The sequence below is a fragment of the Homo sapiens genome, chromosome 8 (assembly GCF_000001405.40).
Source record: "Homo sapiens chromosome 8, GRCh38.p14 Primary Assembly".
NCBI lineage: Eukaryota > Metazoa > Chordata > Mammalia > Primates > Hominidae > Homo > Homo sapiens.
Window position 1 is genome coordinate 142,402,598 of NC_000008.11, and position 12,671 is coordinate 142,415,268.

The 12,671-nt window shown below is 59.0% G+C and overlaps 1 protein-coding gene across 36 annotated transcripts in view, besides 6 other annotated features; it reads right to left on the reverse strand.

The window, feature by feature from the left end:
- TSNARE1 (t-SNARE domain containing 1) overlaps positions 1 to 4,432 on the reverse strand; it is a 194,950-nt gene extending 190,518 nt beyond the window's left edge. For 33 of the 36 annotated variants that reach the window (XR_007060718.1, NM_001366901.1, NM_145003.5 and 30 more), the window contains exon 1: positions 507 to 585. Coding sequence is in view for 3 of the 36 variants with exons in the window: in XM_047421461.1 (XP_047277417.1) it covers positions 768 to 812 (45 nt within the window). In the remaining 33 variants the exon portion in view is untranslated. Of the gene's footprint in view, positions 1 to 192; positions 309 to 506; positions 586 to 767 lie in introns of those variants that run through there. The other 3 variants (XM_047421475.1, XM_047421476.1, XM_047421461.1) reach the window with 3 other exon arrangements.
- Positions 144 to 283: a silencer, noted in NCBI's record as "silent region_19594". NCBI's record gives its function as "represses an Ori minimal core promoter by ATAC-STARR-seq in GM12878 lymphoblastoid cells {active_cell/tissue: GM12878}" and the evidence as "EXISTENCE:reporter gene assay evidence [ECO:0000049][PMID:35858748]".
- Positions 424 to 993: a silencer, noted in NCBI's record as "silent region_19595". NCBI's record gives its function as "represses an Ori minimal core promoter by ATAC-STARR-seq in GM12878 lymphoblastoid cells {active_cell/tissue: GM12878}" and the evidence as "EXISTENCE:reporter gene assay evidence [ECO:0000049][PMID:35858748]".
- Positions 424 to 1,490: a biological region, named in NCBI's record as "H3K27ac-H3K4me1 hESC enhancer GRCh37_chr8:143484673-143485448".
- Positions 715 to 1,490: an enhancer, noted in NCBI's record as "H3K27ac-H3K4me1 hESC enhancer chr8:143484673-143485448 (GRCh37/hg19 assembly coordinates)". NCBI's record gives its function as "activates a minimal SCP1, AML or CMV promoter by ChIP-STARR-seq in naive H9 embryonic stem cells {active_cell/tissue: H9 hESC(naive)}" and the evidence as "EXISTENCE:reporter gene assay evidence [ECO:0000049][PMID:30033119]".
- Positions 1,434 to 1,483: a silencer, noted in NCBI's record as "silent region_19596". NCBI's record gives its function as "represses an Ori minimal core promoter by ATAC-STARR-seq in GM12878 lymphoblastoid cells {active_cell/tissue: GM12878}" and the evidence as "EXISTENCE:reporter gene assay evidence [ECO:0000049][PMID:35858748]".
- Positions 7,239 to 7,917: an enhancer, noted in NCBI's record as "H3K4me1 hESC enhancer chr8:143491197-143491875 (GRCh37/hg19 assembly coordinates)". NCBI's record gives its function as "activates a minimal SCP1, AML or CMV promoter by ChIP-STARR-seq in naive H9 embryonic stem cells {active_cell/tissue: H9 hESC(naive)}" and the evidence as "EXISTENCE:reporter gene assay evidence [ECO:0000049][PMID:30033119]".

Genomic DNA, 12,671 nt, shown 5'->3' on the forward strand with positions numbered 1-12,671 from the left:
AGAAGGGACAGAAAGGCATGGAGAGGCAAGCACACAGGAACGGGGTCCCCAGCTCAGGCTCGAAGGCGGGCTCCGCTCGTTGAGCTGCAGGGCACCAACCCTTGCACCCAGCAAGTAGGCGCTGGGGCGCTCCCCGGGACGGCACTGACCTCCAGGCGCAGGCACCGGCTGCCCGGCCCAGAGCCCACCGACCTGGGGTCTGAACAGCGCGCGAGGACCCGCCGAGGGGCTCATGTGCCCGCGGGCCGGTCCCCGAAATGCGGCGCTCTCGCGGGGCTGCGGCTCAGGGTCCCTGGCGCCCCTGGGGTCCACCCCCGGCACGGTCCCGCCCCCTCCCCTCCCCACCGGCGCGGCCCCGCCCCCCGCCCGGCCTCCCGCAAGCCCCATACCACGCCACGCCGCGGCCCCCGCCGGGCTCCGGGCCCCGCGCTGGTCCCCGGCCGCCTCGCCCTCGCCGCCCCACGCCCGGCCCCGGCCAGGCCCCAGCCCCACCGCCGCCGCCTCACCTGGGCCTCGGTGGCTCGCGGACCGCTCCGGGCGCTCACGGCGGGCGAGGCGGGCGGGGCGGGCACCCAAACATCACGTGACGGCCCCTCCCGCCGCCGGCGTGCGCGCCCCCTCCCGCACCAGCCAATGGCCGCCGGTCCCGGACGCGCGCGGGGACTACCCGCCCCAGAGGCCCCGGCGCGGAGCCGGAAGCGGCGCGGACGGCGGTCGGCTGGGCCAAGAGGCCTCTGCGGGTGCGCGCGCGAGTCGGCTGTCCTCACTTGCCTGGTGGTGGGCCTCCGTTTCCCCGTTTCCCCGTTTTGCATATGGGGATGACGGCGAAGGTGGAGGTCACGTGGAGGGCGGCGGCCCGGCGCTGAGGCGCTTCGGGAGCGGGCTCCGCCCAGCCCAGGCCGAGCCCGGACCTCACACGGGCCAAAGCTGGAGCTTCTGCGGGGCTGCGCAGGCGGCGGGTCTCGGCCAGGGCAGGGCCGGGCACCTGCGCGTCTCGCGCTGCGGGGACGGGCGTTGGGCCCCAAGTCAGGCTGCACGGGCTCCGCGTGGGGCCGTGCTCGGCCGGGGGCTGGCAGGCCCCGCGGGGACTCCGGACTCCCAGTGTCACCAACGAGGAAACTGAGTCTCAAGACATCTGAGGGACCTTTGCCCGAGGTCGCAGCCCCTCCCTGGAGGAGCTGAAGTGCAGAGTAGGGAGCCCCTTGCGGAGACCCTCCTGGGACCTCCTTCCGCAGGGGCCTGGGGCGCCTCCCTTTCCCTGCTCTGCCTGCGGGCACTGAGCTCCCGAAAGACTCCAGCCCCTCGCTCTCCCGGTGACCTGCTGGAGAAGACACCTGGGAGGAACCTGCGGACAATGGGTGTGTGTCCTTGGGCCGCCAGGGTCACCTTTCAGCCTGTTTCCCCAGAGGTGAACCAAGAGTCACACCCAAGGCAGGAGAGCAAGAGTGATGAGTCCGCTGCACCTTCTCCGGCAAGCGGAGGTTCTCCCGCCGCCCTCACTCTGTGATGCTTGCTGTGCTTGCGAGGCCTACGCCAAAGCCCTGCGGGCAGCCCTGGGCTCCCGCGGACAGCCTTGCTGAGCTCCTGGGAAGGAGGCGTGCCCTCCCCTTCCCCCACCGCCCCGCTGGCTGGGGTTCTCTGCAGCCCAGGACTGTGCATGTGTGCGCACACGGGTTCTGTGAACACGAACACAAAAGTGTGCTCGTGGACACTGCGTGGTACTGTGTGCACACAGCGCACGTCTGTGAGCTGAGGGAGTGTTCCTGGACACCAGGTGCAAGTGCACAAGTGTGTGTATGCTGGCACAAGTGTGTGCCCAGGCGCAAACATGGGAACGGTAGTATATGGCACAAATGTGTGCACACATGGGTGGGAGGGAAGAGGGGCACATGCCCACCAGCATTCCTGGGCTGGTGCTCAGGCCGGCCTGTCCTGGGCCCACCCACGCTCCTTGCCTTGGTGTATTTCAGTCTCCCCTGGGCTCCCAGGAGGCAGTAGTGTGTGCCTGTCTTGCAGCCTCGCCATGATTTGGACAGGGCTTCACTCTTCGGCTAGGACAGCTAGAGTGCAGGGAAGCCGGCTCCTAACCAGGGAGGATGCCCATGACTGCTGACCCCCCAGCTTCCACTTGAAGGGGAAGGTTCGCCAGGACCAATGCCTGTCTGAGAGCTGTCAGTCTGGACTGAGGATGCCGGGTGCCTGGCACGGTGCCCACCTCCCCTTCCGTGGCTGGCGCTGTCTGTCTGGCCGCCACCTCACTCAGCCTCCTCTGACAGCTCCGTGTTCAGGTGTGCAAAGGAGGGGAAAGTGAAGCCCTTTCCTCCCAGGGCAGACCACCTCCAGGAGCCGCTTTCTTGACCATACAAGGCGTATATGGGGCTGTTTCTGTGCCTGGACACTGCAGGGGGAATGGTCTAGCGTGGGTAGGAACCACCAGAGGAGGGGCTCCGTACCTGTTGGCTCCTCCGAAATCTGGGATGAGCCCGCCTGAGTGCCCCACAGCAAGTCAGGGAAGGTAAACCTCTCCGTGGAAGAGCCAGGAGCCCACTCCCTCAGGCTGAGCCGATGGGGAGGGGGAGGAGGATGCTAAGGGGTCCTCAGGAAGGGATGAGGGAAATAGCCAATAGCTGCCTGGGCCTAGGGCCGGGGCTCCCCTCCCTTCCCTCATCTCTGCCCCTCCCTGGAAGAGGTCATCACATGACCTCGGGCAGCTCTGGGCTCCCTCCTTCCTCCAGAGAAGCAGGACTCCCTGGGAAGAACTCTGGTCCCACCCCTTGGCCAACCAGTGAGACCAACAGGGTGAATAAGTGGGATTGGCCCCAGGACGCTGAGTTCTGTTACCTAAGGGGGTGGGGGTTGCCTGGTCCTCAGCTGGCACCCCCCAAATTGGATCTACCATTCCAGGTCCCAGAGGGAATGTGGGCAACAAGGTTAGGGGGTGGTTCCAAGGCCTTCGGAAGGAACGTTGAGGCAGCACCCACTAAAGCCAACCTCAGAAATGCTCCCTCTCTGAATAGTAGCATGGACTTCTCAGGGTTTAAGCTGAATTTCCAGGTCAGTGTCAACCTATGGCTTTGTCGTGAGTTTCCCCACCCTCCCACCCTTCCTCTCTACCCTCTGCTGCCTGGCTTCAATGTCACCTGCTCAGGAGACCATCCCTTGCTCCCCTGCAGCCCCTGCCTGGACAGGAGAAGGCCTGTGCACCTCCTGCTCTGCTCCCAGCACAGCTTCTGCTCCAGCAAAGCCCACGGGCACTCAGTCCTTGATTCCTGCACCCACCAACCCCGCCGAGCCGCCCTCACTATTACCCAGGCCTCCTTTGTCCCTTAGCAACAGAACCCCAGTTTTGTTCAAGGCATCAATGTAGCCAGCCTCACCAGCAGCTGGGCCAGCTGTGACACTGTTTGCCCAGGGGATGACTGCAGGAGGCACAATCGAGCCTCCTGGTCCTTTGGAAGGGGCAGCTGTGGCCACCCACCTCACTGACAGTCTTCCTTTCTCCTGGCTCCAGCCTGAAGTGTGGGCACGGCATCCCGAGGACAGCAGCCATGTGGCCAGCAAGGGGCAGGGTCCCAAGCTGAGGATGTGAGCAGCTGCCTTGGTGCCCCAATGGCACCGTCAGACTCATCACCATGGGGAGAACAAGCCCCTGCTCCCTTTATGGGTCTGCCTCATTGGATTTCGTCAGGTTTTCTGTAACTGAAGCCAGTGCCACTTCCATTGTAGCTGATTTGGGCTCCTAAGCTCACGGGAGTGGGACATCGTTCTATTAGCTGCGTCCTGCCCCTCAACAACGATGGCTCCTTGCGGGCAGGCCCCAAGGGCGCGTCATGGCCCCACACACCTGGAACACACAGTGCCCCACACCTGGAACAGCCTGGAGGAGCTTGTGAGGCATGAGGGCGCGGGAGCCACACTCTCAGGTGCCTGTTTTCCACATGTCCCCATGCAGCCCGGGCTTCCAACCACATCTTAAAAAATAAAAAGACGAGGAGGAGAAGAAACTTTGGTCCTAACACCAGACTAAGCCCTGTCTTGCTGTGTGATGCTCAGCCTGAGGCACACCTTCTCTAGGCTTGTTCACCAAAGCCGCAATGCAGGGGCAGAGCGGTCATGAGGCCTGCCCAAGAGTGAGGTTGGTAAAGGGCTGGGCAGAACCAAGGGCATGGGGTGTGTGGGAGGGTGGCGGTCCATTCCCTTGTCACCCACGCAGAGGCAGTGTCATGAGGGGACACGTGGGAGTCTCTGGGAAGGGCCTGACACAGCCCCAGCACAGGACAGTGGTCTGACCATTCAAGACTCAGTCTGCGTCATCAGAGACCAGGCTCTTAGAAACCAACTCCATCCTGATGTGCATAACAGCCTCCCAAGGTGTTTAACATGGAGCAGGAGTGACAAAAAGAAAAATGAAGTAAAAGAATAGAAAATCCATCAACAAGCATGTGGAGTGCTGTTCTTGCTGATGCATCGTCCAGGAAAGGACACTTGCCACCCTTCCTGGGAATGCTTCCCACTCCCCGACCCCCTCCTGGCATCCATGAGCCTCAGATCAGCAGGTGGGGACGTGGGGACAGGAGGAGTCTCCGCCCTGCAAGGGTGCAGTCCCCCCAGATTCCACAGCCACTGCTAGGCCTGCTGCTGGGCACAGCTGCCCGTTTCTTTCCTGCCACAGTTCATCTCATCGGCAAAGCCTGTCTCCTCTTTCACTCATTGAACAAGCTTTACTTCCACGCCGCGCAACATGCTAGGATCTGGGGATAGCATCCAGTTTGATTTGGTTGCTGATGACAGAACAACCCAAATAACAGTGGCTTGATTGACGGTTGCTTTTAATGTGATATTTTTATGTCCAGGTAGGCAGTAGGACTGGAAAGGTGGCCTCACAATCATCAGGACCCCAGGCCCCCTTAGTCTGGTTGCCCCATCAATCCCCAAATAGGCCTTTTGCCTCACGGTACCAGACGGCTGTTGAAGCTCCAGCCATCATGTCTGCTTTCAGCCAGCAGGGAGGAAACATTGGCATACTCTTCCCAACCTTGCAACCCGTGCTTTTAGGGATGCTGCCTGGATTTTGCACACCTCACCTCTGCTTACAGCCCCCCTTGGCCACAGCTGGGTCTCGGGTACTTCGAGCTGCAGAGGAGGCTAGGACATGTTCCACCCCAGGGGCTGTGTTCTCAGCTAAGAGCTGGACTCTTGCACTGAGTAAAAAGGGAAGGTTGGGGTTACCTGGCAGTCTCTGCATCAGGACACAGCCCTGTGCACCACCTGGCAGGCAGGCCAATGTCGACAACCTGCAAATCACACACGTGTGTGCTGGGAACCTGTGCTGAGGCCCTGCAGGAGCGATCAGGGGCGTGGGGGCACCCGGGGGGATGGGGATCAGGGAAAGCCCATCAATGAGGAGACCAAAATGGGCAAGTCTTGAGGGGTAGCGTTTCTGGGGGGTGAGCTGTGAGTACCATGGCGAGAGAGGAGCCAGCAACGTCCACGTCCCACTCCCCTCTGTGGACACATCCTGACCCCTCCAGCTGCTTGGGGTCGGGAGGGTTCAGACGGCCCATCTCCTGGCTCCTCCTCATTCCACAGGTGAGAAACCTGGTAGGGGAGGGACACGTACAGGGTCTCAGACCAGCACCGGGCCACTCTGGGCCCAGCCCATGTCACCTCACCCCAGGCTTGGTCTCTGCCTCCTCGTCATGGCACCTCCCCTCTCCACACATTCAGCCTGTAACAGCCACGAAGTCATAGCCCTGTGGAGTAACCAGTGAGCCGAGGGGACTTTATTTTGTTCTGCTTCCATTTTTTTTTTTTTTTTTTTTAGACACAGGGTCTTGCTGTGTTGCCCAGCTGGAGTGCGGTGGTGCAATCAGCTCACTGCAGCCCTGACCTCCCAGGCTCAAGCAATCCTCTCATCTCATCCTCCCTAGTAGCTGGGACTACAGCTCATTTTGTTTGTATTTTGTGTTTTTTTATTTGAGACAGGGTTTCGCCATGTTGCCCAGGCTGGTCTCAAACTCCTGGACTCAAGCGATTCACCTGGCTCAGCTTTCCAAAGTGCTGGGATTATAGGCATGAGCCACTGCACCCAGCCTCTGAAGGGACTTTGAAAATGCTATCATTCACCACTTCTTTTACAGTCAACAGCACACGTTTTGGTTCTGAATGTGTGGTTCTTGTGTGTCCGCTGTTTGGATTTAGACCTGGTACCCAAATGAGACCAGGACACTTCACGCTGGGCAGTGAGCATCCTAGACATGCACGCTGGGCAGTGAGCATCCTAGACGTGCACGCTGGCACCTGGCTTCTTGGTGGACACCTTAGAAACCATCAGGAGCCACTGGTGAGTGGGGCTGAGGGCATGTACCCACGTGTGAGAGCCCGCGATGAGAGGCATAAGCATGAACACGATGGTGACTGTGGCGGCAGCTGCTCCCTGAATGCTCCCCTATTCTCCCCCTGATGCAGCCACACTTCCGACCCCTCTTGTCGTCTAAGGCCCATGTGGCTGGCCCCGTGCGGGAGTGGGTGCAGCACGCCCTGCCATCCTTCCCTGTACATCTGCCTGTGGCCAGGAGGCAGGGCCGCCCAGCAGCCTCGGAGCCACAAGAGGGAAGGAACAGGTCCCAAGGCTCTCGTTCTTGTCCTGGGAGTCACTGAGTTGAGTGGACAAGGGTTGAGTGAAAAGAGAAGGAGAGAGGGGAAGGGGCCGCCTGCTGCAGGCCCTCAGCCTCCCCTTCCTGCATTCTAGACGTCCACTTGGGGCGCTTGAGGAAGGGGCATCGTGTCCCAGGAGAGAGGCCTCATCCTATTGCGGAGAGGGGGATGAATGGGGAGCTTGTGCATGGATGAGGAAGACGAGCAAATGACAGGGGGATCATTTGAGTGTCAGGGAGGGAGAAGGCGGCCACCTCTGCCACCTCGAGTGGGCAGCCCTGGGCCTGTGGAGGAACAAGACATGCCCTCATCCCCCAGGCTGGGGGCAGAAAGAGCAGAAGACTGCGCCCTGACCTTTGGGTTCCCCTGGGGGAGACCTGGTGAGCGCTCAGGGCAGGGCCGAGGGCAAGCGCTCTCCCTCCTGGCCCTGCCTCTGCAGCTCTTCAAGGAGCTGAGCCAAGCCGTCCCTTGAGGGGCAGGGGCTGAAGAAGCCCCATGCTGGGACGCATTTCACTGACACAGCCCACCTGTTATCCTATGAGCTGCTCTGCAAAGGCACGTATTATTCTCTCGGTAATGAGGGTCGGTTTAGGGACAGACGCACTTCATATCCCTCCTCCCTGCTCTGTGCTCCCTCCAGCTGAGCCACCAGAAGCTCCAGCCTCCCAGACAATCCCTGGGGCCCTTTCAGCCTGGAGGCAGGGAGTGTGGTTTGACCCCTGGCTCCACCGTGTGCCTGCTGGGTGGCCCAGCGCATCAGCCTCCTCATCGGTGCTATGCACACCAAAAAGTTCCCAGCTCCGTGGAGCCAACCTGAGGCTTGAGTGAGTCGATGCAAGAGAAACCTGGAACAGTGCTGAGCACAGGGCCTGGCCCTCTGGAAGCCCTGGAACATGCGAGCTCATGCATTGTGTGTGGGTGAGCATTTGCCATTGACATCTTGCATGGATGCCCAAGCACCAAAGCCAGGCATGGGAGCTAAGGAACACAGCATGATGCCCTCAGGGTATCTCGGAAGTTGAAGAGGTGGCAGACCAGCCAAAGGGGTCACCGCTGGACCATGAGACTGTTGTTAGAAGGTGATATGAGGAAACACTACGTTCTGTCCAGGATGTTGGAGAGGTTTCCCAGAGAAGGAGCATTTGGGCTGGGTGTTGAAGGATGAGTAGGAGTTTGCCAGGCAGGAGCAATGTGGCTCTAACATGGCTGCTGGAGAAGGTTGCCACATCCACCTCCTGCATCACTTTCTGCCCCAACTCCTATTCCAGACATGGCATGTAGGGACTTGCCCACACCTCCTCCCACCCTTGGCCCCCACCTCTCTTCACATCTGCACACAAATGCACTCCCAGATACTCACATACAGTCACAAACATTCTTATACTCACAGAAGCTGGAGTTGACTCCGCTGTGCTGAAATCAGCCTCCATGCCCACTCAGAAACCCAAAACACCCCGACTTCTGCACACAGGGAAACACGGTAATGAGATGCTAACGAGCTAAGGTAAAAATCAGGGAGAACAGCGTTTTGCAAAATCACAACAGTTTGTACTTCCAGGGGCTCCCTCCCCAGCAAGCGTGCTGCCAAAGCTCACGACAGTGCTGTGTGTGGGCTGAAAGCAACTGTGGGGGGTGGGGGGGGCACCTCCTAGGTTGTTGATGGAAGCAGAAGGGGTCCTCGAGGTTGCCGGGGTGTGCCCGGCCCCAGGCCCTGCCCAGCAGTGCCCCTCTCTGCTTGGCTTACACACCTGGTCTCCCTGGGAAACTGCCTGCTTGAGGCCTTCTGGCGCCATGCGTCATGCCAGGCTTACATCCAAGCACCTGCCCAGTGTCCCAGGCCTCTGACTACAGCAGCCAGAGCTCCTGGTTCTCCACACGCCTGCGTCCAACTCCTGTGTTGGCACAGCCTGGGCCTCTGCCTGGAGGGTAACCCGCTCATCCTTTAGGGTTGCACCTCTGCACACTCTCTACCACCTGCTCCAAGAAGCCTTCCTGACCCCTCGGCCCAGCTCTGGGGCCTCCTCTAAGCTCTGCAGGCCCAACCTTCCTGCCTGCTGGGTGCTGACTGTGTTGTCCCCCCACCCCCAAATGGAGGAACTCCTCCTTGCTGGCACCTGGCCATTACTGCTCTTCATTGTGTGTTTGTTGGATGAATGAATTAGATAGAAGGTGAATTAATGAATGATAGACTTAGAGTGACTGACCTGGAAGGGGTCTTGAGGATCATCTGGAATATTCTGGAGGAAACTGAGGCCTGGAGCAGGGAAGTGGCCCCCAAAGCTACCCAGCAGTGGGGGCAGAACTGAGTTCCTGGCTCCCCAGCCAGTGCGTTTCCCTCTCCACTGGATTGCGGGAAAATCTCCAGGGGCCTGAGCCCTGCCCTCATCAGGATGGCCTCTCCCCTGCCTTTGGGGTCCCCACCGCTCTCTGCAGCGCCATCATCCCTTTCTGAACCAGACACCCCAGCTTCCCCGTGGCTGAGAAATGGGCTCTGAAGAGCAGACGAGGTGCTGAGGGGAGGGCCAGACATTCTCCCCTGTGACCCGGGGCCTGTACCCCATCACTCTCCCCAGCTCCAAGGGGCCTGGGTGCAGTGCTGGGAGGGGCCCAGCACCAGGACAGACAAGTACCTCTGGTTCCTGGGAGGTCGTGGACGTCAAGAGAAAAGTCATCGTGGCTGGATCTCATCAGGGTGCTCCCTTGGGCTGCATGCCGAGAGCTCCCAGGGCCTCAGGGGCCATGGGATGGTGGCCTCCAGCCCACGGGGCAGCATTCCTGGGTGGAATCGTCCTGACCGCCCAGGCCTCTCTCTGTGTTTTCATCAAGGTTGCAGGGAGAGAACTCACCGGTATCATGAAGACAGATGAGCGGTGCGGACCCAACACAGCTCCCCTGTGCCACATGGGGAAGGGCCCAGGAAGGAGCTATCACCACCCTGGACAAGCATCCAGCCCCTGGCAGGGTGGCCATGCCCAGGTGATGCTCAGTGGCGACAGCAGGAGGCCAAGGGAGAGGCAGCCCAGCTGGGTCCAGACCAGCCCGGCAGGCGCGGCCCTGAGCAACATTGGTATTTTGCTGTTTCTCCCTTTTCCCATCTGGAAAATGAGTGCTGTGTCTTCAGTTCTGATTCTCAGTGTGGGGCACCATTCCCTGCGGGAGGACAGAACTGAGGCTTCTGGCAAGGGGGGCAAACCAGGTGGCCCCTCGCCCAGCCCACACTGCCCCTCGCCCAGCCCACACTGCCCCTTGCCCAGCCCACACTGCCCCTCAGAGAAGCAATGCCGTGTCGGGAAGGCTTCATTGCCTGCCCACCCAGGAGTCCGGGGCCCTGCTGCTGTTCCCCACTGGGTCCTGGCTCCAGACCCGCAGACTGAACCCACTGCACTGCCCCCACGAAGCCTGGGGCAGCCCTGGAGCATTACTGCCACCTCCCTGGACCTCACTTTCCCTGTAAGTGAAGCAGGGTAGCTGCGAGAGGCCCTTGAACCTGTCATGCATTCACCAGGCTCCCGTGCCGCCAGGTGCGGGGTGGGGGGCGCACCTGCTGCTTGGTGGGCCCTGGCCTGGAGCAGGGAGAAGCTCGGGGCCGAGCTCCCGGGAAAGGCAGCCAAGACAGTGCCAGGCATGACTCCAGTGCAGCAGGGGCTCCTGGCCTGGCCTGTGAGGGGTAGGGCGGGGAAAGGCAATTTAGATTCACCTTCTCTTTGATAACAAGTAGAAAAACATGGTCGGGAGGCGGGGGGCGTTAATCCATGAAGAAAGAATTCAGGTGCTAAGACCTTATAACATCGCGGGGGGTGCCTCAGGGGGAGGGCGGGGCTGGGGGGGACCTGTGGCTTCCTCCCAGCCTCCATCTCTCCATTGAGGCATAGGACACCTCCCCTTCCCCACGGCCATCTCCTGCCTTTCCTCCTCCATCCTGCCCCTCCTACCAAGCTGTCAGAGTATGCCCCCAAAACTCAAGGGTGTGATGGCCTTCTGGGGTGTTCACAAAGCTGTAGAGTGAGATTCCTACACTGCTAAGGTCCTCCCCTAAACACATCCACCCTGCCCCACATGCACACACACCACACATTCACACACACTCCTGCAATGCACACACGCAGACCCACACACACTCACACGCACACACACCACACATTCACACACACTCCTGCAATGCACACACGCAGACCCACACACACTCACACGCACACACACCACACATTCACACACACTCCTGCAATGCACACACGCAGACCCACACACACTCACACGCACACACACCACACATTCACACACTCCCGCAATGCACACATGCAGACCCACACACACACGTGCACACACCACACATTCACACACATTCCTGCAATGCACACACACAGACCCACACACACACTCTCACACACGCACACACACCACACAGTCACACACCCCTGCAATGCACACACGCACACACACATCTCACACAGCACACACACCACACAGTCACACACTCCTGAAATACACACAAGCAGACACACACGCACACACACCACACATTCACACACTCCTGAAATACACACACATGCACAGACACCCACATACGCACACGCACACACCACTCATTCACATTCTCTCACACACACATATGCACAGACATGCAGCATATGCACATACGTTCTCACACATACATGCACAGACATGTACACAGCACATGCAACACAGACACACACATTCTCATACACATGCACATGCTCCCTGAATAACACGTGCAGACACACAGTGCATGCACACACATATTTCTCACAGCCATGCACACACTCCCTTACACACATGCACAAATATCCCACACACAGCTCATGCACACATGCATGTTTTCACACAATGCACACACTCCCTCACATGCACATTCACACAGACACACGTTCCCACATGCATGTACACACTCCCCACACACATGAACACACCTCACAGAGTGCATGCACATGCACTCCCTTACATGCACAGACACGTGTGTTCACACATGCACACACTCCCTCACACAAGACATGCATGTTCTCACATACATGCACACACTCCCTCATATGCACAGAGATTCATGTTCACACACAGGCACACAATACCTCACACACAGACACGCACGTTCTCACACACATGCACACCCTCACACACACAGATATGCATGTTCTCACACACATGAAGACATTACCTCACATGCACAGGCATGCACATTATCACACATACACACACTCCCTCAAATACACAGACTCAAGTTCTGACACACACACACATGCACACACTCCCTCACACACACACATGTTCTCACACATATGCATACACCCCCTCACATTCACAGACATGTATATGTACACGTGCACACACTCCCTCACATGCACAGATACACATGTTCACACATGTGCGCACACCCCCTCACATGCAGAGCATGTTTACACATGCACACACACCCTCACATGCACAGACATGCAAGTTTACACATCCACACACTCTCTCACACACAGACACTCATGTTCTCACACATGCACACCGTCACGTACACAGACATGCATGTTTACACATGCACACACAGACATGCACGTTCTCACACATGCACATGCTCCATCACGTACACAGACATGCATGTTTACACATGCACACACACAGACACACATGTTCTCACACATGCACACACTGTCACATGTACATTCTCTCACACACACTCATGTTCTCACATGTGCACACACTCCATCACATGCACAGACACGCACATTCTCACACCCACGCATACACCCCCTCACACTGACAGACATGCATATTTACACATGCACACATTCCCTCACACACAGATGCTCATGTTCTCACACACATGCACATACTTTCTCACATGGACAGAGGAGAGGAAGGGGCCTGCCTGCAGCCCGCCTTTCAATCAAGGAAGAACCAGCTCCCAGCTGGATCTGTTAAGGAGGCTGGGGTGGGAGTGCTCCTGAGCCCTGGTGTGCTCAGGGAGGGGCCCTCCTGGGGCTGTGGGTGGCAGGACTGCCTTCAGGAGAGGA